The 24,445-nt window shown below is 45.4% G+C and overlaps 1 protein-coding gene across 11 annotated transcripts in view, besides 2 other annotated features; it reads right to left on the bottom strand.

The window, feature by feature from the left end:
- The window catches only part of NRAP (nebulin related anchoring protein), a 75,328-nt gene that overhangs the window by 7,983 nt on the left and 42,900 nt on the right, over positions 1-24,445 (bottom strand). For 7 of the 11 annotated variants that reach the window (NM_006175.5, NM_001322945.2, NM_198060.4 and 4 more), the window contains 13 exons: positions 23,908-24,012; positions 20,759-20,857; positions 19,016-19,120; positions 18,143-18,250; positions 17,487-17,600; positions 15,538-15,735; positions 13,763-13,867; positions 11,718-11,816; positions 9,482-9,586; positions 9,066-9,173; positions 7,913-8,224; positions 1,273-1,377; positions 390-488 (listed from right to left, as the gene is read on the bottom strand). In NM_006175.5, coding sequence (NP_006166.3) covers positions 390-488; positions 1,273-1,377; positions 7,913-8,224; positions 9,066-9,173; positions 9,482-9,586; positions 11,718-11,816; positions 13,763-13,867; positions 15,538-15,735; positions 17,487-17,600; positions 18,143-18,250; positions 19,016-19,120; positions 20,759-20,857; positions 23,908-24,012 — 1,662 coding nt within the window. The remainder of the gene's footprint in view (positions 1-389; positions 489-1,272; positions 1,378-7,912; positions 8,225-9,065; positions 9,174-9,481; positions 9,587-11,717; positions 11,817-13,762; positions 13,868-15,537; positions 15,736-17,486; positions 17,601-18,142; positions 18,251-19,015; positions 19,121-20,758; positions 20,858-23,907; positions 24,013-24,445) is intronic. The other 4 variants (XM_047425253.1, XM_006717870.3, XM_024448029.2 and 1 more) reach the window with 2 other exon arrangements.
- Positions 14,314-14,608: a silencer, noted in NCBI's record as "tiled region #959; K562 Repressive non-DNase unmatched - State 13:Ctcf". NCBI's record gives its function as "represses a minimal TATA promoter and a strong SV40 promoter by Sharpr-MPRA in K562 cells {active_cell/tissue: K562}" and the evidence as "EXISTENCE:reporter gene assay evidence [ECO:0000049][PMID:27701403]".
- Positions 19,995-20,496: an enhancer, noted in NCBI's record as "OCT4 hESC enhancer chr10:115376450-115376951 (GRCh37/hg19 assembly coordinates)". NCBI's record gives its function as "activates a minimal SCP1, AML or CMV promoter by ChIP-STARR-seq in primed H9 embryonic stem cells {active_cell/tissue: H9 hESC(primed)}" and the evidence as "EXISTENCE:reporter gene assay evidence [ECO:0000049][PMID:30033119]".

Consider the following 24,445-nt stretch of genomic DNA (forward strand, 5'->3'; position numbering starts at 1 on the left):
TTGGTATTCTTGTCATTGTGATTATGAATCAAACCATGATAAGGAGCACTTATTGAGAACTTACTGTGTTCTATGTACTTGCTAAAACTTTCTGAGCCTTTATTTAATCCTCATTTAATTCATTTAATCTTATGAAATGGTTGCTATTATTATCCTCCCCGAAACCCCAACCTCCTTCAAATAAAGGGACCAAGGTTAGAAGGGATTCAGCAACTGGCCCAAGACCATCCAGGTCATAGAAAGATTTACACACCCATCTGTCCAGATCATCCAGGTAGTAGAAAGAAGGTTTGCACCCCCATCTGTCCAGAGCCTGTGTTCTTAGACCCGGACCACTGAGCAGCAGTGCTACACTGCATGCCCGGGATGAATGACAAGAAAGGACCCACCTCATTGCAGTGCATATAGCTGTTCTTGGCATGAACCAGGTCTGGGGAGTCAACCACTGTGGTGAACTTGATACTGTCTGGTTTTTTACGGTACTTGGTCTATAAGATAAAGACAAAGATTCTCATGAAACACAGTCCAACATCATGCATCTTTCAGGGTGCAGCTTCACTCCACCTTCTCAGTACCTAACATGCCAATCATATTGTTGGAAAACAAGCCTTTCTTCTTGGTAGGTACCTAACAATCAAGAGTATAAAAAGATTCAGCTGCTTCTGTGATATGGAACATTTTACAGGTATTTACTCTCTTGAAGAGAGAGGCCACAAAATACTACGGCTCCCCACAATAAAGGAATTCAGTAAAGGGCAGTATTCAGCATCAATGTGGCCCTGCTTGGATCCTGTCCAAATACATTCTGTTATTAAGAAACTGAAGAAGGCAGTGTCACCTTCGAGGGAATTCCAGGGCAGGGATCCCCAGGCTGTTAGTATGGTAAGGAGTTCAGTTAATGTAACTATTCCTGTGCAAATTTTAACACTATCAGAAATCAGAAAACCTCTGGACACAGAGTCAACTCAGTAGATGGGTGGCAAATTCCTCCTCCTCTCCATACAAAGAATGGGCCAGTTTAGATAACGATTGTACAAAATGTATTTGTTGAGAACTTTCTAATAAATCATGCCTTCAGTTCCTCAGCAGTGAATTCATTTGGAGGGAAACCTCATTCTGTCTTGGGATTTGGTTGCACATGGCCCTCCAAAAATACTGGGAGTCCAGTGGCCATGAGGTCCTTTGGGTTCTCCACTCCATAAACAGATTCCCTCTTCAAAAGGAAATGCTAGCTTGCCCTTGTCACTTGTGGTGGGGACAGGTTGATGGTACCTCGCTGATGAGTTCTCCAGCCTTCTTTGCACTCTCCATCTGTGGGGATCTCAGCGCCAGCCATCCTATGCCCTTCATGCCGATCAGGTCTGACTTGTAGCGCAACTGCAGGGAAAAAAATCATGGGCTTTATCAGGAGAGTGCTTAAGACTAGTACAGCATTTCAAGAAGATCCTTGATTTGTAATAGCATTTATAATAATGCTTCATCACAACATTTCAACATCTTCACTGGGAGTACATTCTGCATGTCGTCAAGTCAAACTGTTTGAATTTGTACATTCTGCCAGGAATTAATTAATGCATCACATACGAGATACAAGAAGGTCCCACCAGTGAATTGGCAGGATTTAAAGCGAGAGTAACAACCTATGTGGACGATCGCATAAAGAAAGAGCTGAGATATATGCTCATATCTAAGCACCAGCTGGGATTATTTTGTTTCATTCTGCCATTGAGGCCATTACCCGCCTGCCTAAATAGAAACATTCTGCACACTGTTCAGGCTTTGAACTCTTGGGTTCAACCTGCTATGACTGGGAGCAAATCACTTTAACCAAAATGTGACTCAGTTTCTCTCTGTGATACTCGAAGTTCATAACAACCCCTCTGTTCTCATAAAAACACCTGCTAGTAGTCAGGGCTAAGAGCCACTCTTTAAGTTAGATTTTTTGTTCTTGTGATAGTGGTAGTGGAGGGGGAAAGAAGTCAATTATAGCATGACTTTAAAAACGGAAACAAATTTGGATGCCACCAGCTAATAGTGAGTAAACCATTTTAACCGCTTCATGCCTCAGTTTACCACCTCCTCCCACTGTTACTCATTATGATTTGTTTATATTCCAAAAATAGGCTAAGCCTTATTTTCTTTCCTCATTTTAAGAGCTCAGAAGTTTAGGCTATGGCATCAGTCCTGGGAGAAAATAATAAATGGTGCTTTAAGACAGTGGGTCTGACTGGTAGCCTTCCCAAATGTTGAATCTCATTACTATTCCTTGATCTGCCCACCATTACCTACAACGAGAAAGTCGCCTGAATGCTTCTCTTCTTCTCTTTATGGAAATTAGGCATTTTTTAAAGGTGGAAAAAGCCTCTCTAAGAAAATCTAAAATTTGGATCTAAACGAAGTTGATGGCATTTCTCTAATTTAGATATAAGCTCTGCTGTAACGCAAAATATCACTCCAGAAATCAGCCTCTCAGCCTTTTTAGTTCTCTTTCATTTCAGGATTCACAGCGTTCCTCACAGCTGGCCTCAAAGAGGGTCCGTTTCTGATCTACTGTCTGCTGGTTAATGCCCCTGTGCAAATTCGACTGTGCCTTCCAACTGGTGAAGGGAGACATCACTCAGGCTCAGGAGCAGGTTTCAAAACCCCATGTCAGTAAGATTGCTTTTTATACCACGATCTTTCAGTCTACACCGGCAAAGCTTTTGCCTTGCACTCTGATAAAGAACAGAGAAAATTGGATAAATTTCTAAGTTGGAGAGAATAATCCTACAGGGCCTCTTCACAGCCGGGCCTTGCTCCTTTCATAAGCGAGATGAAGTGGGGAGCGCTCTTTCAACTTGCCTTTTGTTGAGCTGAACAGTACGATCCCAGGTAAGTCAGAAAGCAAGATGCAGGTTCCCCAAAGATCTGACTATGCCTCCAACTCTCTTATAAATGGATTGTCTATTGATATCTCAGCTCCCAGCCCAGCTTTGACTATTCACGCAGACCCTAAAAACAACACACTTGCCCCAGACTTCATGATAAAAGAGGGGGCCAGGGGAGGGGAGTCAAGAAGAATCTGCTACCCAAAGATGGTTTCGAAGAAGGATTATAAGATAATGAGAGACCTTTCAAAGCTGCACAGCTGAATCTGGCTTCCCCAAATGGCAGCCTCACTTTTTTTCCCCTCTTACATACTAAGGTCTAGAAGACCTCTTCGGATTCACACATGGGGTTACCCGGCACCCCCATTTTGGAGCACTGTGTTGCAAATGCTCAAGCTGCAGCTTTCAGTCCCTGAGTTCTAATGCAGAAGGAATGATGTAAACCATTGTGCCCAGCAAGTGCCTGGGGTAAAGTATATCTTTGTCATATTAATAAGAAACATTACAATCAAGACCTTGTGTAGAGTGGGGTTTGTTTTAGACCCATTATTTCATTCAGTCCTCACACCATCCTGCAAAGAAGGGGTTATATTCTCTCTCTCTCTCTCTCTCTCTCTCTCTCTCTGGAGATGGGGTCTCTCTTGTTACCCAGGCTGGAGTGCAGTGGTGTGATCATGGTTCACTGCAGTCTTGATCTCCCAGGCTCAAGTGATCCTCCCACCTCAGCCTCTCAGAGTAGCTGGGACCACAGGTGTGCACCACCACAACTGCCTCATTTTTTTTTATTTTCTATTTTTGTAGAGATGGAGTCTCCCTATGTTGCCCAAGCTGTTCTCTAACTCCTGGGCTCAAGTAATCTTCCTGTCTCAGCTTCCCAAAATGTGGGATTACAGGTGTGAGCCACCATGCCCAGCCTAAGGAACAGTTATTCCCATTCACAGAACAATTTTGGTTTTCAAATGATTGTTCAGACTCTCAGCAGAGCCACCAGCTGCCATACTGTGGGTAAGCCACACCAGGTAGTGGTTAAGAGGACAGACACAGAGCACCTGGGTTCAGAATCCAGCCACCTGGGGAAGCCAAAGAGACTGAACCAGGAGTTAAGAGGCAAGAGCTAGAAGCCTCACTGTGCCTTGTACTAGCTGTACAGTCTTGAGCAAGTCATTTCCCTACCAGCTGTGGCCTTGGGCAAGCTACTTAGATTACTGGTGCCTTATCGCCGCATCCTGTAAAGAGAGGAGTCATACTGGTACCCACCTAGATATTAAATGAGATAGTTTACACAAAATACTTATGCCAATGCCTAGCCCAGGGTAAGCATTCCATACATTTTAGTTAGTGCTGTTGTTGTTATTTCTGAGGGAAAAACTGAGTCCCGAGAGCTTAAGGAGTCTACCTTAGGTCACACAGCTGTATGCAGAGAGGCTGGGACTGTCTCCGTGACATTTCCTGCATGTGCCTTTCCGGACTCCCAGCAGCCTGGTCTGAGACCACGGAGGGAGCAGGCAACAGCCGACTTGAGAAGCACGGAAGAGATGATGGAATCAGCACCTGCCCATGATGCAGCTTGCCTGGACCAGGCATGCATCTCAGGTGAATTTCTGAGTCAAGCAAGACTGGGCCGGGCTGGTCCGAACTGGGCAAGACATGGGAATGAACCATAGCCACGAGAACCTCAGCATCTCTGGGTCCCCTCTGGCCCTACCCAGAGCTTTCTCTCTGGCCTGGGGAGGGCAAAGTCAGGAGAAGCAGCTGAAGGCTGGGGCTGCTCCCTTGACGTAATGCCTATTTAGCACTTGTTTCCTTTTTTGCATAATAGAAACACGTGAAATGGGAGTTTTGATAATGGCTGCTATCAAGCTGAAGCCTCAGAACCAGCTGAACATTTCAGGGACTCCTGTTCACAGCTTCTTCGAATCCAGACTCTCTCATTAACCAATTTGCAGCTTAAAAGGAATGCGTACAGCATAATATGGTCATTTAAAATTTAAGCAGTCACTTCTTAGCATTTAAAAATGTAATACATATCCTGCCTTTAAAATGTCAGCATAAGATTGCCAACTACAATTTCATGGGAGGGATTCTCCATTTTAGATTATGTTCTCTCTGCTTTCTTTTTTTAGTGTGAAAATGTCCTTTCTTTTCAGAAATAACAGTGACATACATGGTAGCTTAAGGTAGTGTTTGTTTTTTTCCTTCTTCCTCAGTTAGTAAAAAAAATTTGACATTATGTGGATCCCACCATTTAAAAGCCATTTTCCCAAGAATCCCAAAGTCTAAGATGGTGGATCAAATCGAACCTCTTTGCTTTTCTTTTACTTTCTTTTTATTTTTTTGAGACAGGGTCTCTGGTTTTCTGTCACCCAGGCTGAAGTGCAGTAGCACAATCATGGCTCACTGCAACCTCTGCCTCCTGGGCTCAAGCCATCCTCCCACCTCAGCCTCCCAAGTAGCTGGGACTACAGGTGTGCACCACCACACCCAGCTAATTTTTTGTAGAGACAGGGTTTCATCATGTTGCCCAGGCTAGTCTCGAACTTCTGAACTCAAGCAATTCATTTACCCTGGCCTCCCAAAGTGCTGGAATTACAAGTGTGAGCCACCACACCCGGCCCCTTTTTGCTTTTCTGATGGAGAGATGGAGGCCTAGAAAGGGAAGTGACTGCTCATGGACACACAGTGACAGAGCTGGGCTTCCCACACACATCCTCTGACTTCCAGCTCCACCTCCCATACCTCTCCCAGGTGGCCTCTCTACCTTCCTCAGGTGCCTGTTCTGTCCCAGAAGGTTTCTGTTCTCCCAAGAAATAGGCCATTGACAAGAGGGTCCCTGGTTGGGCACCAGAGAGTCATGCTATGAGCTGTTTTGGGGGCCCTCAGGATTGCTTAGCAAATGGAAGGACTTTGTAAGTGGAACTTGGGCTGGCACTTTAGTAACTAAATCCCCTATGTGGGACCCAGATGAAGGCACCCTACTCTACACTCTGCTTGATGGTGAATGACATGATATTGCAGTTCCAGCAAACTGTGATTAATAATGCAATGATAATTAAATTAACAAAATCATTACTGCAATTAATAATAATTGATTATGTGTTTAGAATACCCCACTTGTTGCTATCGACAATTAATCTAGCAGTAGTCATTGCCCTGAAGGCAACCAGAATTGAGGGGCTTGGCGCAAGGAACGTACTCAAACAGCTACTACTTATTCTAGTGTTTCCATGGATCAGGTATCATGCTGTTTCATATAGACCAGTTCTCCACTGAGAACCAGATTCTCAACGGGGGATAACTTCGTCTCTCAGGGACATTTGTTTGGCAAGATTTAGGGGCATTTGTTGTCACACTGGGTGGTGGGGTGCTATGGACACCTAGAGGATAAAGACCACGGATGTTACTAAATATCCTGAAATGCACGGGACAGGCCCCTAAAACAAACAATTAGCCTGCAAAAATGTCAAAGGTGCAGACGTTGAGAAACCCTGACACAGATGGCTGGTTATGTTCTAAAATGAGAGCACCTTCTTCCTAGGGATGCTGTGGGCCTAGAGAGAGGATGTGAGACGCAGTGCCTGCCACACTGCAACGCAGTCCCATTGTCATTATCGTCATGTTCCATGCCATCGTTACCATGCCTGCGGCTTGGAGAGGACATGAACTTGTCCAAGGTCACCCAGCCAGTAGTGGGGGAGCTATGGTTGGAATCTCAGAAGTCTGACTCCAGAATCTTGCACCATGATGTGGGAGGGGCCAGTGCTCTCCACCAGCCTGCTTGGTGCCCCTGCTCAGGGAAGGACCTCCCTGAGGTAGCCTCAGGGTCTATGCCTGTGCTGTGAGGGGCATGGCTCCCTGCTCTGAGCTCCCCCCAAGAGAGCAGGATGGTTAAGAATGGGTTCTGGAGCCCACCCTCCCTAGGCACTTCCCACATGACCTCATCCCTAAAACAGGAGTAACAGCTGCCCCCACGTCAGACTGCTTTCGCAAGTTTAAAAGCAAAGGCGAGCAGTCAGTGAGAGTCGGCGGTGGTTACAGTCTTATCACATCACCACCCTCGTCCTTACTCCGCAGAGCCTAGGCCCTGCTCAGACCCTGTGATTCCATCCCCACTCACTCGGCCTCAAACAGGCCAAGGCTGCTCCTTCACTTCAGCCTCAAACAGGTCAAGGCTGCTCCTACTCAAGTCCTTGGCCTTTGAACTTGCTATTCAGTTTGCCTGGAGTTCCCTATCCCCTTCTGTCTTTTCCTTAAGGCTCTTGCTCAAATATCAACTTTTCAATGAGAACTACCCTAATGCCCTATTTTAAATGGCACACGTGTACGTGCACGCACACACACACACGCACACTCACACCTCCTGCCCCACTTCCCTGCTCTATATGTCTCCATAGCATGTACAACCATTGACATATTACATATTTCATGTATTCACCATGGCTTATCTCCCTCTAGTATAACAGGAGTTTCCTGAGCACAGGAATTTTTTGACTCTTTTGTTAACTGCTGCACTCTCAGGGCTTAGAATGGTGGCTAGTATACAGAAGGTGGTCAATAAAGACTGTTTTTTTTCTGAGATGAAGTCTTGTGCTGTCACCCAGGCTGGAGTGCAGTGGCGCGATCTCAGCTCACAGCAACCTCTGCCTCTCGGGTTCAAGCGATTCTCCTGCCTCAGCCTCCCAAATAGCTGGGACTACAGGTGCATGCCACCATGCCTGGCTAATTTTTGTATTTTTAATAGAGACGGGGTTTCGCCATGTTGGTCAGGCTAGTCTCAAACTCCTGACCTCGTGATCCGCCTGGCTCAGCCTCCCAAAGTGTTGGGATTACAGGTGTGAGCCACTGTGCTAGCCCTCAATAAAGATTAGTTGAATGATTCAATGAATGATTCCAACCTAAATGACATAGACCCAGCAAATCATTGTTTGGGGAAGGCAGATAGGGGCAGGAGAGCCCAAAAGACTAAGGAAGAAGCAGAGATTGACACCCGGGTTTGGTGAAAGGAGAAAGGCTGGGGGCTGGTTTGCATTCCACAAGGCCACCCCTACCTCACTCTGCAGGGCATGGGCTTTCTTGGCCCAGGCCATCTTCAGGTCCTCGGGCAGTGCTGTGAACTTGTGATACTGTGTCCTGTAGTCGTGGTCGCTGGCCAGAGCCTGGGCATTCTTGGCATGGACCAGGTGCACCATGTCCATGGGCAGATGGAACTGGGCTTGGCTGCTGGTCGCCCCCCTCCTGTACTGAAGCTCGCTCTGCAGCTGGCCCATGCGCCGGCAGTGCTGGATCCGGGGGTCGTCTCTTACACTCTGGGGCCCTATGAGTTTCCCTCGCTCCTTCACAAAGTCATGTCTGTAGAGAAACTGCAAGAAAGGGCTGGCCGGTCAAATTCTATCTGTGCGTTTTCATTGCAGACTCTAGAAAAATCACTTGTTCTTACACTAGGAGGTGATGATTATAAGAAAAACCACAGTGGGGCTGGCCTGAGAGTGTGCCTTCCTCCCTGGGGGATGAACAATTAAAACATCGCTCCATTCTTCCTATCTAATTAAAATCAGATCCTCAGAACTAAAGGAAGGGCTTCACTCCCCTTACATGTCCTATGGCCAAAAGGAATTTATCAAAAAGGGTGAAAGAGAAACTTGTGCTTTATCCGTTCGCACTTGGCAAAACATTAAACCCAAAAGACAGGATCCATTTATTTGAAGTCCACATTTTTCTGTGATTTGTTTGTGGGAAAGAGAAAGTCACCTTCATGTCCCAAAGCTATGGACGTTATCAACAGAGTGGCTGAAACACAGCCATCAAATCCTAACACCAATGCGTGAAACTACAGAGAGCCAAGAGGGAGATGTGTTCCGGCTGTATTGCAATTTCTATTGAGAGTTCTCGTTCTAAATCTGGGTGGAGTTAGAAGACAGGCAGTCATGCATTACAAGGGGACCGTCGCCTAGACGTTGCAATTAGAAATAAATCATCATCTCCTTCCTGCTAGAGACCTTTGCCTGAATTTAGCTTCTGATTAATAGAGCCTTTCTTTTCCCCCCTCAAAGAATCTCATTCATAACTAATATATTCTGCAGGTGACATCCTGTCTCACATGGTTATAGATTTGCTTTAATTCAGGAAAATCAGCCGTAGACATTGTTTTACATGAAGTTAACAGAAATTAGGCAAGATGGAAGGTCATATCATTCAACTCACATCACTGGCTATATCTCCAGAGGCCCGGGCAGCCTGGAAGGGGAGCGCTTCTATTGTCAGCTTGTAGCCTTGAGCACGAAGATTACGCCAGGACTCTTTGTATCTTGCCTAAAGTGGGAACACATGTAAATCTTTTTTAAAAAATTACATGAATCAACGAGCAAAGGCCACCCCTTTCATTTATAGCACAGTGTTCCAGAATCAATTTCTGTTTTGTGCAGCAAATCTCATTAGTACACACCCTGGGTACACTCATGGACTCATATTTGTGAGAAGGTGTATTTAACATGAGCATCTAAGCTACACATTTTAAAAAGCTTCTGTGAAGGCCAGAAAGGTCAGTGTTGGGTTACTTCACAGATGTAGACATACATGGCTTTGGAGCATGCTTGAACTTAAGTAACAAAAGGGCTTACGTCACTCAGGTTGGCTGCATTCGTTTTTGCTCGGATGAACTCGGGCAGACCCAGGGTCATTGTATACTCGTGTCTTGCATCCTCTCCAGCTGCTTTATAGAGGCGCTAGGCCAAAAAAATATAATAATAATAATGCAAGAGATAAGTGCTGTGCATTTCTGCAGTGCTGGAAGTCCCTCAACGATAGTTGAGGAAACACAATAGCAAAAAACCGTTCATTGTGTCATGGATACATCTCCAGTCTTGGGGAAGATGTTTATTTCAATAAAGACAATCATTCAGGAGTCAAATCGAGTGATGTAAAAGGAATATGTAAGGAATGGCAATGTGCTTTGCTGAATAATAGGCCAGGGAAAGAAAAATAAATTTAAGAATACTCCTGAGGTTCCTTATATCGTAGACTTTGTCCTTGAGGACAGAGCATAAAGATCATACAAAGACCTGGGAAATTTAGGAGAAGGGAGGTGGAAGGGACATCTCCAAACCCAGGCCTGTACCCTTTACTAAAGCCCCAGGATCCTTTCCACAGGTGAATCACACCAATGCTGCCCTGGATGGCCTCATCTTGTACAAAAACATCCATTCTTATGATTAGAAATGGGTCTATGAGCCAGGCGTGGTGGCTGATGCCTATAATCTCAGCACTTTGAGTGGATGAGGCCAGTGGATCACCAGGTCAGGAGTTCGAGACCAGCCTGGCCAACATGGTGAAACCTCGTCTCTACTAAAAATACAAAACTTAGGGCCAGGCGTGGTGGTTCATGCCTGTAATCCCAGCACTGTAGGAGGCTGAGGTGGATGGATCATCTAAGGTCAGGAGTTCGAGACCAGCCTGACCAAGATGGAGAAACCCCATCTCTACTAAAATACTAAATTAGCCTGACATGGTGGCGGGCGTCTGTAATCCCAGCTACTTGGGAGTCCGAGGCAGGAGAATTGCTTGAACCCAGGAGGCAGAGGTTGCAGTGAGCAAAGATCGCGCCACTGCACTCCAGCCTGGGCGACAGAGCGTGACTCTGTCTCAAACAAACAAACAAACAAACAAAAACAAAACAAAACAAAAAACAAAAAAAAATTAGCCGGGCATGGTGGCAGGCGCCTGTAACCCCAGGTACTCAGGAGGCTGAGACAGGAAAATTGCTTGAACCTGGAAGGCGGAGGTTCCAGTGAGCTGAGATAGCACCACTGCACTCCAGCCTGGGTGAAAGAGCGAAACTCCGTCAAAAAAAAAAAAAAAAAAAAAAAAAAAAAAAAAAAAAGAAAAGAAAGAAAGAAAAGAAAAAGAAAAAAAGAAATGGGTCTATGGTTGCTGAGTTGGCTAACGCCAGAGGCCATCAGAGAAGGCACTGTTATCCCACAGCACAAAGCTCATAAAGTAAGCAGAAAAGATGAAATAGGAATTTAAAAGTGATACTATCACTCTAAAAGATCATGAATTCCATCCTTAAGCCCAAGCTGCAATTTCTTGCTTTTCAGTTGAAGCAAGTAGGAACTAATAGGGTAAATAACCAAATCTCAGCTGACTTCTATAAGTTAGAGTCAGAAGGAGAATCTTAAAACCTAAAGGTGGTTCAAAATGTAATTCTCTGCCAAGCTCACCTATTTTGAACCTGTAAGAGAGCCACTAAGAAGAAGTAGAATCAATGAGGCTGGAATGATAATTTTACAGAATGAGATTCCTTCCCTTGCACCTGCCCTCTGCTGGATACATGAAAGTGTAAATTGGGTAAATGGTGAGTGAGAAGAGGAGAAGGTAGATAATTGAGAAGCCTGACAAACATCTTACAATTTAACTGTCCTTGGATAACCACAAATCCTCCCACATCAGATTGACAATGTAAAATTGGTTAGCCAATATTTGCCTAGATAGAACAAATGAATTACAGACCAGTACTTCTCAGATCTTCATGTGCCAAAGAATCATCTTATGATCCTGTCAAATGACCATTTGGAGTCAGTAGATCTGAGGTTGTGCCTTGCCAGTATGCTCCCAGGCAATGCTAATGTAGCTGGTCTGGGATTGCACTTGGAAAGCAAGACTACAGACAATCCCAGATTCCCAACTGGGCTTTCATTTCCTCTGGAAAATGTTTAGGTTCCATATAATGACATTCTTTTCTTTCCAAACCTCCACATAAACACCCATGCTCTTTCTCACCCCAAACACATTCACGTGTATTTTTAACAATCGAGCAGTTTTTAAAAAGACCATTCCAAAGCCATCAGGAGATTTTACCTCATTCGTTATCTGGTTGCTGAATTTCGCATGAAGGAGGTTGGGAGTGTCTGTCACAGCTGTGTACTTGAATGAGTGGGGATGCTGCCGATATTTACTCTGAATTCACACACAAGAAGGGAAGAAGACGACTCCGTAAGGGATAAAAACCAGAAGCAGAACCAGTTCTTTAAGTATTAGCCATAAAGCCTCGTTTTGCAAAGGCTGCAAGTCTATCACTCCAGAATCCAGATTGTCACCTGCCTTTGTGACCCCAAAACTCACTGGGATGAGGAAGCAGAGAGGAGGATAGGATGGACTGAATCAGAACCTTCTAAATGGAAAAGGGAGATTTAGTCCTTTGCCATGAATGTGAACATGACTATTTAAATTTGTGGTTTGTTCCAGATCTTTGCTGGACAGAGAACCAGTGCTCCTCTACCTTGATGGCATATCACAAACTGCAGCTTTAAAAAAACAGACATGCCAGGCATAGTGGCTCATGCCTGTAATCCCAGCACTTTAGGAGGCCAAGGCGGTGGGATCCCCTAAGGTCAGGAGTTCGAGACCATCCAGGCCAACATGGCGAAACCCTGTCTCTACTAAAAAATACAAAAATTAGCTGAGCATGGTGGTGCACATCTGTAATTCCAGCTACTTGGGAGGCTGAGGCAGGAGAATCGCTTGAACCTGGGAGGCGGAGGTTGCAGTGGGCTGAGATCGCACCATTGCACTCCAGCCTGGGTGATAGAGTGAGACTGTCTCAAATAAATAAATAAATAAACTAAAATAAAAATAAATAAAACTTTAAAATAGGTGTGCCTACACCCCACCCTGAGAGACTGGGATTCAGTAAATTAGTCAGTGGGGCCCAGGCCTCTGCATTTCTTAAGGTTTTTTAAGGTTCTGATGCACCATGAGGTACAGAGACCACTTGCTTTAGAGATTTCTCTGGAAAAGCAAAGCATGAGGTTAAATCTAAACTCCCCTAGCAGGCAAAACATAAGCTTATCTGAGCACTCAGGCTGACTGCTGAACACCTATTACTTCCAGTACCTTCCATTATCCCCTCTTGTCCCTGCATCTACCATGAATTAAAGTCCTGTCACCCTCCCAGGGGTGAGCAAGATTCCCCAGGAAATCAGAAAGCTTAGAATTCTAAGACTTCTTTATTTTTACCAAGAAATTATCACCATTTCAAGCTTATAGTAACCATTTCATATACAGCTGCCAGAAAAGCACAGTGCTTAGATTAGTGCTAATCCTCACAAAAATTAAAAGAGAGGGGTCTGAGTATACCCATTTGACTAATTAAGAAGTGGAGGCTCAGAGAGGTGTAGGTCACTGGCTTGAGGTCACACAGCAAATCAGTGCTGGCCTGGAATGTCAATCTCTCTCTGTTGGTCTTCAAAGGCTGCTTTGTTTGCATTGTACCACAGGGCCACTCTTCAAAGGGACACAGAGAGAATATCGCATGGGCCAGTGAATAATCCTTATATGTTAATAGAGGAACTGACTCCATATCCTCAAAGCTGTCTTAAATGGCATGCAGTCTGAATGGAGAATCCAGTAAGAAAAAAAAAAAAAAAAGTCCAGCCCAGGGGGTTACGGAGTGAGTCACTGCTGCTAAGAGTTTAACATCCAACTGGCTTTAGTGGTAAGAAACAAACTGATTGGCTGGGCGCAGTGGCTCACGCCTGTAATCCCAAAACTTTGGGAGGCCACAACAGGTGGATCACTTGAGGTCAGGAGTTCGAGACCAGCCTGGCCAACATGGTGAAACCCCATCTCTACTAAAAATATAAAAATTAGCCAGGCATGGTGGCACTCACCTGTAATCTCAGCTACCTAGGAGGCTGAGGCAGGAGAATCGCTTGAACCCAGGAGACGGAGGTTGCAGTGAGCAGAGATCGTGCCACTCTACTCCAGCCTGGGTGACAGAGCGAGACTCCATCTCAAATTAAAAAAAAAAAAAAAAAAAGGAAGAAAGAAAAAGGAAAGAAACAAACTGATTATCCTCTGCTGTGGAAATGTCCTGGACACTCAACACCAGCATCTGTAGTTACCTCACTGATGAGTTCCGATGCTTTCTTCCTCCCTTCAATCTCTAACGTGCCTGGAATGACACATGCAACACCTCGCATAAAGTTCAGGTCTGACCGGTACAAATTCTAGAAGAAATAATAAATACAAAGAATCAGAAAAGCCAAGCTCTCAGAACAGGGAAGCAAAGCAAAACCAGAGGTCTCATGACACAGCATCTGACAGCGTCATAATTAGAACTCAAGGCTGAACCCGTCCCTCCGGATATATTAAACTCAGCCAACGCACAAACACTTCTTGGTAAATGCTCACTAGGGGGGAAGCAATGTAGGTCAGAAGAAAATAATTCTGCTGTCACTTGTCTCAGAGTAGCTGTTCCACAGAAGCGAGACAGATTTTTATTTTAATGTGGGCTATCAAAAAATAAACACTGAAGCGGATTGTGGTTAGAAAGTCAGTTGTCTTGGGGCAAATGTGGAAATGGTCTAACAGGTCTTCTAAAACAAAACTCAGCAGCAGCGGGTGGCATTAATTAATCATGGGTTAAGAAAGAACTAATAAATAAATCCAAAAGAATCTGGCAAAGGCCTGCCTGAGTTCGTGTGGGTGGGGGCCAGTCTGTGTACCTGAATGATTCGGGCTGACAGTTTAAAGAGTTCCCACATTCACTCCCCTTCAGCCAGTGAGGCGCCCCCTGGGCGTCCTGCCTTCCAATCGCTATCACAACCAGAGGCAGGGCAAGTGAGGGCTCCGCTCAAGTGACAAACGGGCCCCCGAGATGAGCGTGGCAGCTCCCTCGTTCCTACAGCTGCTCTCAGGTTCCTGACAGTTTATGTCATTCAGTAAACGCTGTACACAGGCGTAAAATCCAAACAGACGACAGACACCCAGATCTGAGTGCCGCTCAGATCGCAGGCACTGCCAAACCAGGAAAGAGGTTTTGTGCGGAGTTTTCTTTTCCTAAGCGGGCCCATTACCTGCAAATCTCATAGCATGGAAACCTAGCAAGCTGGGAAATAAGGTGAGTAGTGAACAGGATGTGGATGCCTGTTGGGAAGAACACTCTGGCTCTCCTTGGGAGTGAGGAAGTCTCCAATGCTTCCTGACCCTCCTGGGCCTGTCTGCTTCAGAAATCGGGATCACGAGTGAGAAATGCATGTCAGAGGAGTACAAAGACTCCTCAAAGGGACCCAAGGAGGGTCTCCAGGGCCCTGATTTCCCTCTCCACTCCCTGAAGTGCGTCAGTCCTGACAGGTTCTGAGCAGCCTCTCCCAACAGATCTTAGCCCTCCTCAGAAGGCGGGTGGCACAGGAACGCATGAAGCACCAAGAGGAATCCTTCCTGAGACTTGAGGCCAGAGGCAATATCATTGGCAAATCTTAAACATGCACAACCATGAACCTTGAGGGCATCTTTGTCATTCAAACCTCAAGTTCAAATCCCAGCCCTCTCTTTCTAACTATAGCTGTGTGATCTTGGACAAGATATTTAACTTCTCTGCATTTCACTGTAATTTCTCTGTAAAATGAGAATAAACTAATGATATGGGCTGATTGTGAGATAATGCATAAAACAATGCTTAGAGTGCAGCAAAAAATAATAAATTGTGGTTATGATTAGATTTGTGTAACTGTGCTTAAGGGATGTGCAGGAACTCTCAGACTGGGTTTCAAAATAAGACTTGGGTTTAGGATTTCTCACTTCCAGAGATTTCACTGAGCCAACAGGAGCCTGGAGGTCACCACCCTGAGGTCCTAAGAGAAGAAGGGGCCCTGAGAAAGAGGCCAGGTCTCCTTACCTCACTCTGCAATTTGTGAGCTTTCTTGGCACAGCTCAGCCTCAGGTCTTCTGCCAAGGAAGTGTACTGGGGCAGTGGATGTTTGTAGTCCTGATTGCTGGCCAGGGTCTGAGCCTTCTTGGCATGCACCAGGGCGGCCATGTCCAACGGCAGATGGAACTGCGCCTTTGAGTGTTCAAAGCCTTTCTTGTAATTCACCTAGAGGGGCAGACAGAGCAACAGCAGCTATTTCAAAGCCACTATTTGCAACAGGACCATCAGGGAGGGCAACTGCAATGCAGTTGTCTGGAGGTAAGCCCAGGGGAAGTTCTTGGCAGGGCCAGTGCTCCTTTCTTGCAGAGACTGGCCTAATAACCAGGGCTTGTCTCTAGGCCCTGACACTTACCACCCCCAGCTCCTGGAGGTCATTGATCTGGATGAAGAAGGCCCATGGTTCCCTCATTTGAGGAACATACAAAAGTCCAAGGAACAGTAAATAATGTCAGTGATTCCCTTGCTCAAATCTTTAGATCTTTCTATTTTTCAGAGGCAAGAAGATGCATCGCTCCCTGCCCACCATATTTTTTCCCATCGCCCACTCAAGTTCAGACACGAGGGATTCTCCTCTCACACTAGCTTAGGAAGAGTTTCTTCAAAGCATTCAATGATTTTCCTAGCCAACGTGGGAGCCAGGAGCAGTGGGGAGGATGCTTGGAGAGTCAAGCCTCAGGGATAGGCATTCCCCAAAACCCAAAACACACCCTGGGAGAGGGAGGGGAAGACCCATTCCAGACCATAGATTCGACTATAGTCCTTGGAGGAGCTGTGTTTAAAGGTCTGGGAAACTCTGGGAATAATCAGATGCAGAATCACCACCTCTTCCTCATCCTCCTTTGTCCTTCCATTGTCTTTCATTGCTCTGGCCACCCCTCCCTGACCTCCTATCCCCACTTCCATTCATTCTGTCCTCACCCTAGCATAATGCCAAGGACAGTTCATATCCAACCTCATATTCTTAGGTCAGCAACTCAAGATGGAAAGGAAAAAAAAAAAGTTATGAATGGGGAAACTGGGGCAGAATACAAAATGGCAGAGAACACGTGAAGCTGTGGAAAGACCATGAGAGGTAGAGCTGGCTCCACGGCCTGGCTCTGCCCCTATGTAGCTGACCTTGGACAAGAGACTGAATCACTCAGAGTTTCTACTTCCCTATGAGAAAATAAGGAAGAATAACAAGATGGAGTTCCTAGAGATAGTCTGACAGTTAACTGAGACACTGTATATAAAAGCGTTTAGCCTCTGTAACATGCTGGATACAGATTTCATCACCAATGTTAGCCAACTCACATATGTGCAAGGAGACAGCACCTACACACATTTGCCAGCCTCCAGAGGGTCACAACCAACAATGACAGGGTCATTGCAAACTCAGACGCCTACAGGGGCCAGGCAGGTAGCATAAAGAAGTAAAGCAGGAAGTGAAGAGGAGGGTGGCTGCCTGGCCCACTGCATGGATCCCTTCTAAATGGAGCTGTTGGTCAGGAAGCCACTACAACCAACTGTAGCCTTAAGGAATCCAGGTCCAGCTTCTGGCCAGAAGCTTAACACTTTTATATAAAATTTTCCATTTTTAAAAATTTGCAATTAATCCACTCTGCAGACGAAATGAAAGACCCCTGGAGGCCAAATCCAGCCCAGGGTCAAATCCAGACCAGTGGCCCATGTCCACTGGTGAAAATTATAGAATGCCCAGCCCAGAAGGGAACTAAGGGGTCAACCAGTCCGGCACCTCATTTTTACAGAGGAGGAAGGTGTAGCCCAGAGGGGACAAGTGATTTAACAATGTCACGTAGCAAGTTAGCAACAGAACCAATACCCATGTCCAGAAGGACAAATGAGGTTAGGTTGCCATGCAGTGAGCGTTGTCAGGTGGGGGCCCTGCAGCCGCTGATGCCTCTCCCCCCACTTACATCACTCTGCAGTGAGGTCGCATACACTGAATGTGCAAGGCTGATATCATCTTCCAAGCTCCGGGAACCAAGCATCTGTCCTTTCATTTTCTCAAATGCCTCTTTGTATTTGTACTAAAGGGAAAGAGAGCGGGAGAGAGGAACAGCTCAGGGATAAGGGACACAGAATGGAAGAGGTGGGCATTGGGTGAAAATGTTTTGTTCTTTTGACAGTAGCTGGGTGAGTTAAAAGAAAATGCGCGGGAGTCGTCAAAAGGGCTATTCTTTCATATGCAAGACTCCCAATGACTAAAGGGCTCGGCTGTGAAATGGCAGGATGCATTAGCACGTGGGCGGCCCCGCACTGGAGGAAGGTGGGTGCATTGTTAGCCATCTCTTCACATGGACTCTCTTTATGAACACCTCGGTGGAGGGTGCATTTCATCTGCCCAGGGTCTATGTTTACAGTCCAGCATTTGGCTTTGTATCCCAGGCTGGGGAATTTTTTGTTGCAAGATATGTTCTTTCTCACTGGTCATTATCTGATTGCCCTGACACAGTCAGTTCGGAGAGGACAGGGAATTATCCACAGGCAAAAGAAGGCAGGAGTTACGGGCAAAAGGAGTGAAAACGGGTTAGTGTTGAACATTGTCACAAGAATGGGGGTGAATGCTCACATCACTTATGATTTCACCAGAAGCCTTTGCTGCTTGGAATGGAAGGGCATCCAACCTCAGTTTATAGCCACCATCTCGAAGTTTGCTCCAGGATTCCTTATAACGCGTCTGTCGGGAAGATGTGCACAAGGAAAGACCTTTAAGTGACCTGGTGGTTTCCTAAACTCTGGCTTACCAAATTGGCAATCTGGTTTGTGGTGGGTCCCCTCCCTCCCCTGGCCAGTTGGAGTTAGAGATCATGGTGGCTTAGCTAAACCCACGTGAGTTGGATCCTGCCTCGTGCCCACCTCTTTGGAGGTAGGCAGGGGATGGGGTTGGGGGGGATGGGTTGAGGCATAGAGGGGAGAGGAAGCAAAGGCTTTAGAGTCAAACAGACACAGTTTTTCTAAGCAGCAATTTGATTGGAAGAAGGCATGAGATTGCATATGCATAGTGCTTTATGTCAGATAGAGAAAAGTCAGATGTATCTACCAAAGAACAGAAATGGTGGGCAGGGGAGCTGACAGATTTTGGAGAGGAGGAGTTAAGCCCCAAGTCTTCCCTTGGTATAGCCACTGGATATACTCAGCTATATTCTGATGTTCCCACTTTCCAGCTCCTCCAAACCAATGCTCTTTGAACTAGGCAGAGAATGTCCCCAGATCATTCTTTCAAATGAGCTGGACTCTTCTGCAGGACCAGCTACATAATGTGCAGGGCCTAGTGCAGATGAAAATGTGGGGCCCCTTGTTCAAAAATATCACATATTTCAAGGTGGTGATGGCAGAACATGAAACCAGCTCAGGGGCTTCTGAGCACAGGGCATTGTGTGCCTGCCCATGACCAGCCCCGCTCTCCCGTCATTAAAACTCGTGCCCCTTGGGTCAGCCTCACCTCACTGATATTCATGGCATTCAGCTTGGCCAGCAGGACTTCAGGGAGGTCAGCAGTCGGTGTGTAATGATGCTTTATGTTTTCTCCTTGTTCCCTGTATAATCTCTGTGGATGGAAGGAGGTTTTGCATGAAACCTAGACCCCATTCCATGCAGCCATCAGCCAGGTTACGCTTCAAGAGTCCAAGCTGCTGCAGCTGCCACCTCCTCATAGAGACATGATTTCGGGCACCCTGCCTCCACCCAGATTTTACAGCTAGCACGGTGACACGCATGTCATTTCCAAGCTCTGCTTCCTAGCTCAGAACATGACAAGCTGAAGCATTCCCCTCAGTGAACGCCCCACTCATAGTAAACTGCTGAGATGGGTGTCAAATGAGAAAACGAGGTTTACTTAACACCTAGTAATAATTTGGTGATTAACTATCAGCTATGAGATGGCATCAAGATACAGAAGGCGAGAAAGAAGATGGCTCTTGTACAGGTGAGGTTTTCTCCTCCCTATCTCAATCCTCCTCCGTTCCCCCGTCTCAAATATTCTTCCCCTAAGACATGTCTCCTGGGTGGATCTGGGACTCTATTTACCCAGAACTCTGACCCAAGCTTCGGATACCCTGATAGTTAATAATGACACATGCAGTTGGCATCAGCCACCAGAGAAAGTTTCCAAACAGGGTTTTTCCATCCCAAATCTTATCAGATGTATCCAAGTTTCTACGTATCACAGCAGTGCCCCCTAGAGTTGGCTAGGATAAGGAAGAAACAGGTATTGTTTTTCTTCATACAAAAGTTCTTGTTTGACCATCTGTGTTTCTCAGAATTCAGTTTGATTCTGATGGGCTGATTATGAAGAAGTTATAAATTCCTAAATCCATAAGCTTGTAAATCATCCCATCCCAGATTCTGACAGGCACTCAGGCTGTTTCAGAATGCCTGTCAAATAAAGCGCAACCAGAATCATTTGCTCAATTGGGAAACAAGGAAGAGAATTTTGAAAGCTATGCCCCCAAGGTTTGTAAATTTTCCCCATGGAAAGTTGAATGGTTTGAAGGTATTTAAAAGCCAGGTTTGCCCTGCACAAAGATCCATGGGTATCTCTTAGCAGAATCAGCCAAACAGGGTTAATCTACATCACAAAGTGTTTTTTTTCAGCACCTCATCGTTCACTTTAGTCTCCAGCCGACCCTGCAACCCTGCACCCCAGCCAACCTTTCCCACAGAGGGAAAAGGGTCAAATCTTGGTTTTGCATCATAAAGGAGTATGGGAAATGGCTTGAAAGTTAGTCTGATGTATATAAATCAGACCCAAATCATGTTCAAAGTCTCTGGGAAATTCATAGAGCAACAATTGCTGCCCTTGGGTCCTAAAGAGCTCTAAGCACAGCGTCAGGATTCCAATTACCAAGAATTTCACCCAGTTCTGAAAACAACACTTTCAGGCAAAAGGAGAGGAGAAAACAGCCTCACCACGAATGAATCGGTGAGACATGCAAATGGGAAGGAGGGAGAGCATCTTGGGGCAGTGGGGTGGTGGAGCCCCACTTGGCATTCTAAGTGCAGTAACACCCCCATTTGCATCCTAATGAGGAAGCACCCCCCGCTAAGGGAGCCTCTGCAAAGGACAGGGAGCGCCTTCATCCTTAGGACAACAGAAGGAGCAAACCCAAGAACCCCTCCGCTTCAATCGCAGTGTTGAAAGAAGAGCCCACTCTTAGAGTCATAATGTATATACATTATCACTTACATCCACTGCTTGGGTATAACTAATTCTGGCCTGGACCATCTCCGGAGTGTCTTTAATACTGGTAAACTTCAAAGCATCTGGATGCTGACGGTACTTCTTCTGTTGAGCAGAAAAAGATCAAAGCTGTGAATTTTGTGCTGCTCTTTCATGCCATTTGAAAGAGAAAATCATAGGTTGCTTGAGATTAGAGTGAATTTGTGAACACAATTATTATTCTGCTTCCTCCATCTTTATATCCTAGGTGCCTTCAGGTTAATATTTGTTTCAATTTAAGAATAACCTCATGTCAATTAACATTAAAGTATTTCTACCTGGTGCAAAGAAAACATCTCAAAATTAGGTTATACTAGTAAAATACTGTAGGATACACACTTAGAAAAGGATTCTTTTTATAGGCTTCAAATACTTTGTCGCAGTTGTTTACATATCTTAGTTTGGGTCTTCTAAGCAAGAAAGAGCATTCAGAGTTACATTTATCCATTTAAGCTTTCTATTTTCCTTCCACAAAAAAACACTGACAGACATTATTGCAGTCAAAACCCTCACATTCAGCAGCCCGCGAGCGTATGCCGTCCAGTCACATTAGAGCCTAGTTCAGTTAACACAGGAAATAATTCTTTAAAATATTACAATAACAGGAAAAAGGGTGCTATTATTCAAAGGAGTCATCACACAGTTTGAAAGACACTGAAGCAAAAAAAAAAAAAAATCACAAAAATGCTGGCAAAGACCTAGATACCCAATTTTGAAGTATTCTGAAAATCTGTTTAAATTAATTTCTTTTTTAAAAATCAAGGTACATTTTTAGGAGACAGAAACCATAATTACTTCAATGAGATCATAGAGTTTATGCTTTCCAAAGCAGAATAATTGTCTTAAACACACTCTTCTTTATCTGGTTGGATTTTTGTACACTGGGTTGTCTTAAGACAACACAAATCAATAGCCAGCTAAATCTAGCTCACCACCTGTTTCTGTAAATAAAGTTTTATTGGAACATGGCCATGCTCATTCACTTACGTGCTGCCTATGGCCATTTTCCAGCTAGTTGTGACAGAGGCAATATGACCTACAAAGCCAAAACTATTTACTATCTGGTCCTTCACAGAAAAGGCTTTCTGACCTCTGCTTTGGATCGTAGGTGTGCGTGTGCATTTGTGGCTCTTTCAACAGTGCCGGGCATTCTCTCTGGAATTAAGAAGGTGGCCCAGGCCGAGTGCAGTGGCTCACGCCTGTAGCCCAGCACTTTGGGAGGCTGAGGAGGGCGAATCACCTGAAATCAGGAGTTTGAGACCAGCCTGGGCAACATGGTGAAACCCCGTCTCTACTAAAAATACAAGAATTAGCTGGGTGTGGTGGTGGGTGCCTGTCATCTCAGCTACTCAAGAGGCTGAGGTAGGAGAATCGCTTGAACCCAGGAGGCGGAGGTTGCAGTAAGCCAAGATCACTCCACTGCACTCCAGCCTGGTTAACAGAACAAGACTCCATCTCAAAAATAAATAAGTAAAATAAAAGAAGGTGGCCCAATTCGACAGTAACTTGTAAATGTGACAGCCTAAAATGAGATGGGGGGGAAAGTTGCTGAAAGATGCCTTGCCTTACTTACTAAACTTTGAGGACTAGTATGAGACAAGCCCATCAAAGAGGATAAGCAAATTTGTTGAGAAAGTATGCAAAATGAGGTGGCTAACTAACAACTGTGGGATACATGGTCCCCTGAAGATCCCTTGGCTGCCAGATTAAGACACACGAAGGAAATCACCCTGAAGTCTAAATTATGCAAATATGGTCTTTAGTCTTCATTTCCTTTTATGAGTGAGCCCAATATTGAGAGTTTGGGATCATGAATCCTCAAACCTAAATGTTTATTCCTGTGAGTTCTTCACATTTATCCTCCCAGAGGGCCTCTCCTGAACTAGAATGAACAAATTATAGCAGTGCTATCCCCATGGAGTTCCCAGGGTCTTCTGAGCCTTGAGTGTTGACCAAGGTCCCTAAAAATCAGGCTGATCAGCATAAGGCCACTTTTTGAAGTCAACTCTGCATTGTGCCAGGTAGTGAGAATGCCGTTCCATGGGAAAATACTAATGCTGGACAGGTGTGTTTGAAAAACCAACAAGGGTGTCTTTCTATTTTAACTATAGGTTCAGAAAGAAAGACTCCTCAAAAAAAAAAAAAAAATCCAGGAGGCTCATTGCCAAAGCTAACAACCTGTGGGACTATGGCCATTATGGTCCCCTCCCCACCCAGAAAAGTCCAGAAAGACCAGGCCTACTCTGAAGACAACTAGGCAAATGGTCACTTGTCTTCTGATCAAGTCTCCCTGCAAGCAAACATAAAGAGCACGGGTGTGAGTGGTCTGATGGTGTCCAGCCTCCTGGGAGCCTTGTCCTGTGCCTCTCCACCAGGGACAATTCTGCTTCCTGGGGGGCTTTCGGCAATGTCTCGATCCATTTTTGGTTGTCACAGAGGGCACTACTGACATCCTTGTAGGACGTCCTGCTAAACATCCTGCGGGGCACAGGATAACCCCACGACAAAGAAAAATCAAAACGTCAGTAGTGCCGAAGTTGAAAAACTCAGAAAGAGCTGCTCATTGACACTGTCCTGAAATACGAAGAAACGACTCTTTTCGCAAGCAGTGGTGCTGTAGGGTCCAGCCAAGGTGGCTATAAGTAGGCAGAACTGAGTAAACTGAAGTGAGACTCTCCCTCAAAAAAGAACCATGTCACATGGTGGCCACCACGTGAATATTCAAAAACTGTTGACTCTGTAGCAGAAAGGGAGAGGAAGAAAATGTGCCTAAAGTCACCAAAGAGCTTTTTGGGTGCCATAAATGTATCTTTTCATCATCTCTCCTGTGTTGCTTCATTAAAAAGGTAAGTTGGTGGGTAGCAATTGAGCTCTGTTTGATTGTCATTATTATTCATAATATCATTTGTCACCCACTTTGTTTTTGCCAGGGCCCCTACTGGTGTGTGTTTCGTACGTGGTTTCCCTCTAATTACCAGCCCTAGTCTGGGTTTTGAGGCCTTTCATGTGGCTTTGCCTTTTTCTTTGCCTTTTGAGTGGAAATTATTTTAATTTTATACAGAGACGCCGCACGCCTAATGCAGCCAGGCCTGTTACAGGCTGTCAGGAAATCTCACCTCGCTAATGAGTTCTCCTGCCTTCTTCGCCTGCTCCACATTTAATGACCCGGTGGCGACCCAGCCCATGCCTTTCATCCACTTCACATCTGCCCTGTATTGGTTCTGACAAAGGAGAAAGAAAAAAAAAAAAAGCAGGCCATTGTTGGTGCACAGACATTTAAAGGGCTATTAGCGGCTCCCAACACAGCCTTGGTGCCAGCTGAGTCAAATTAGATGCCACTTTTGTCTTATGCATTTCTGCAAAGTCACAGGTAGGGCTCCCAAAAGTCAATTAATTCCCCCTTTAATTGGAGCCATCCCTTGGGACAGTGGCTTTAGGCCCCATCCAACACTATTGGGGGTGACGCAGGAGGGGCCAAACCAAGCTTGCCCCTCATTACGGACGAGTCTACTCGGAAAGAAGCACGTCCTCATTGTCTGCATTACCAGTTTTCTTGTTTAAAATGACACACGGGGGACAAGAAAATGAGAATTCACAACAGAACCCAGGCGGGCGCTATTTGAGGGAATTTCACAAGGCAGCGGAGGCTTCCCA

This window comes from Homo sapiens, chromosome 10 (genome assembly GCF_000001405.40).
Source record: "Homo sapiens chromosome 10, GRCh38.p14 Primary Assembly".
Classification (NCBI taxonomy): domain Eukaryota; kingdom Metazoa; phylum Chordata; class Mammalia; order Primates; family Hominidae; genus Homo; species Homo sapiens.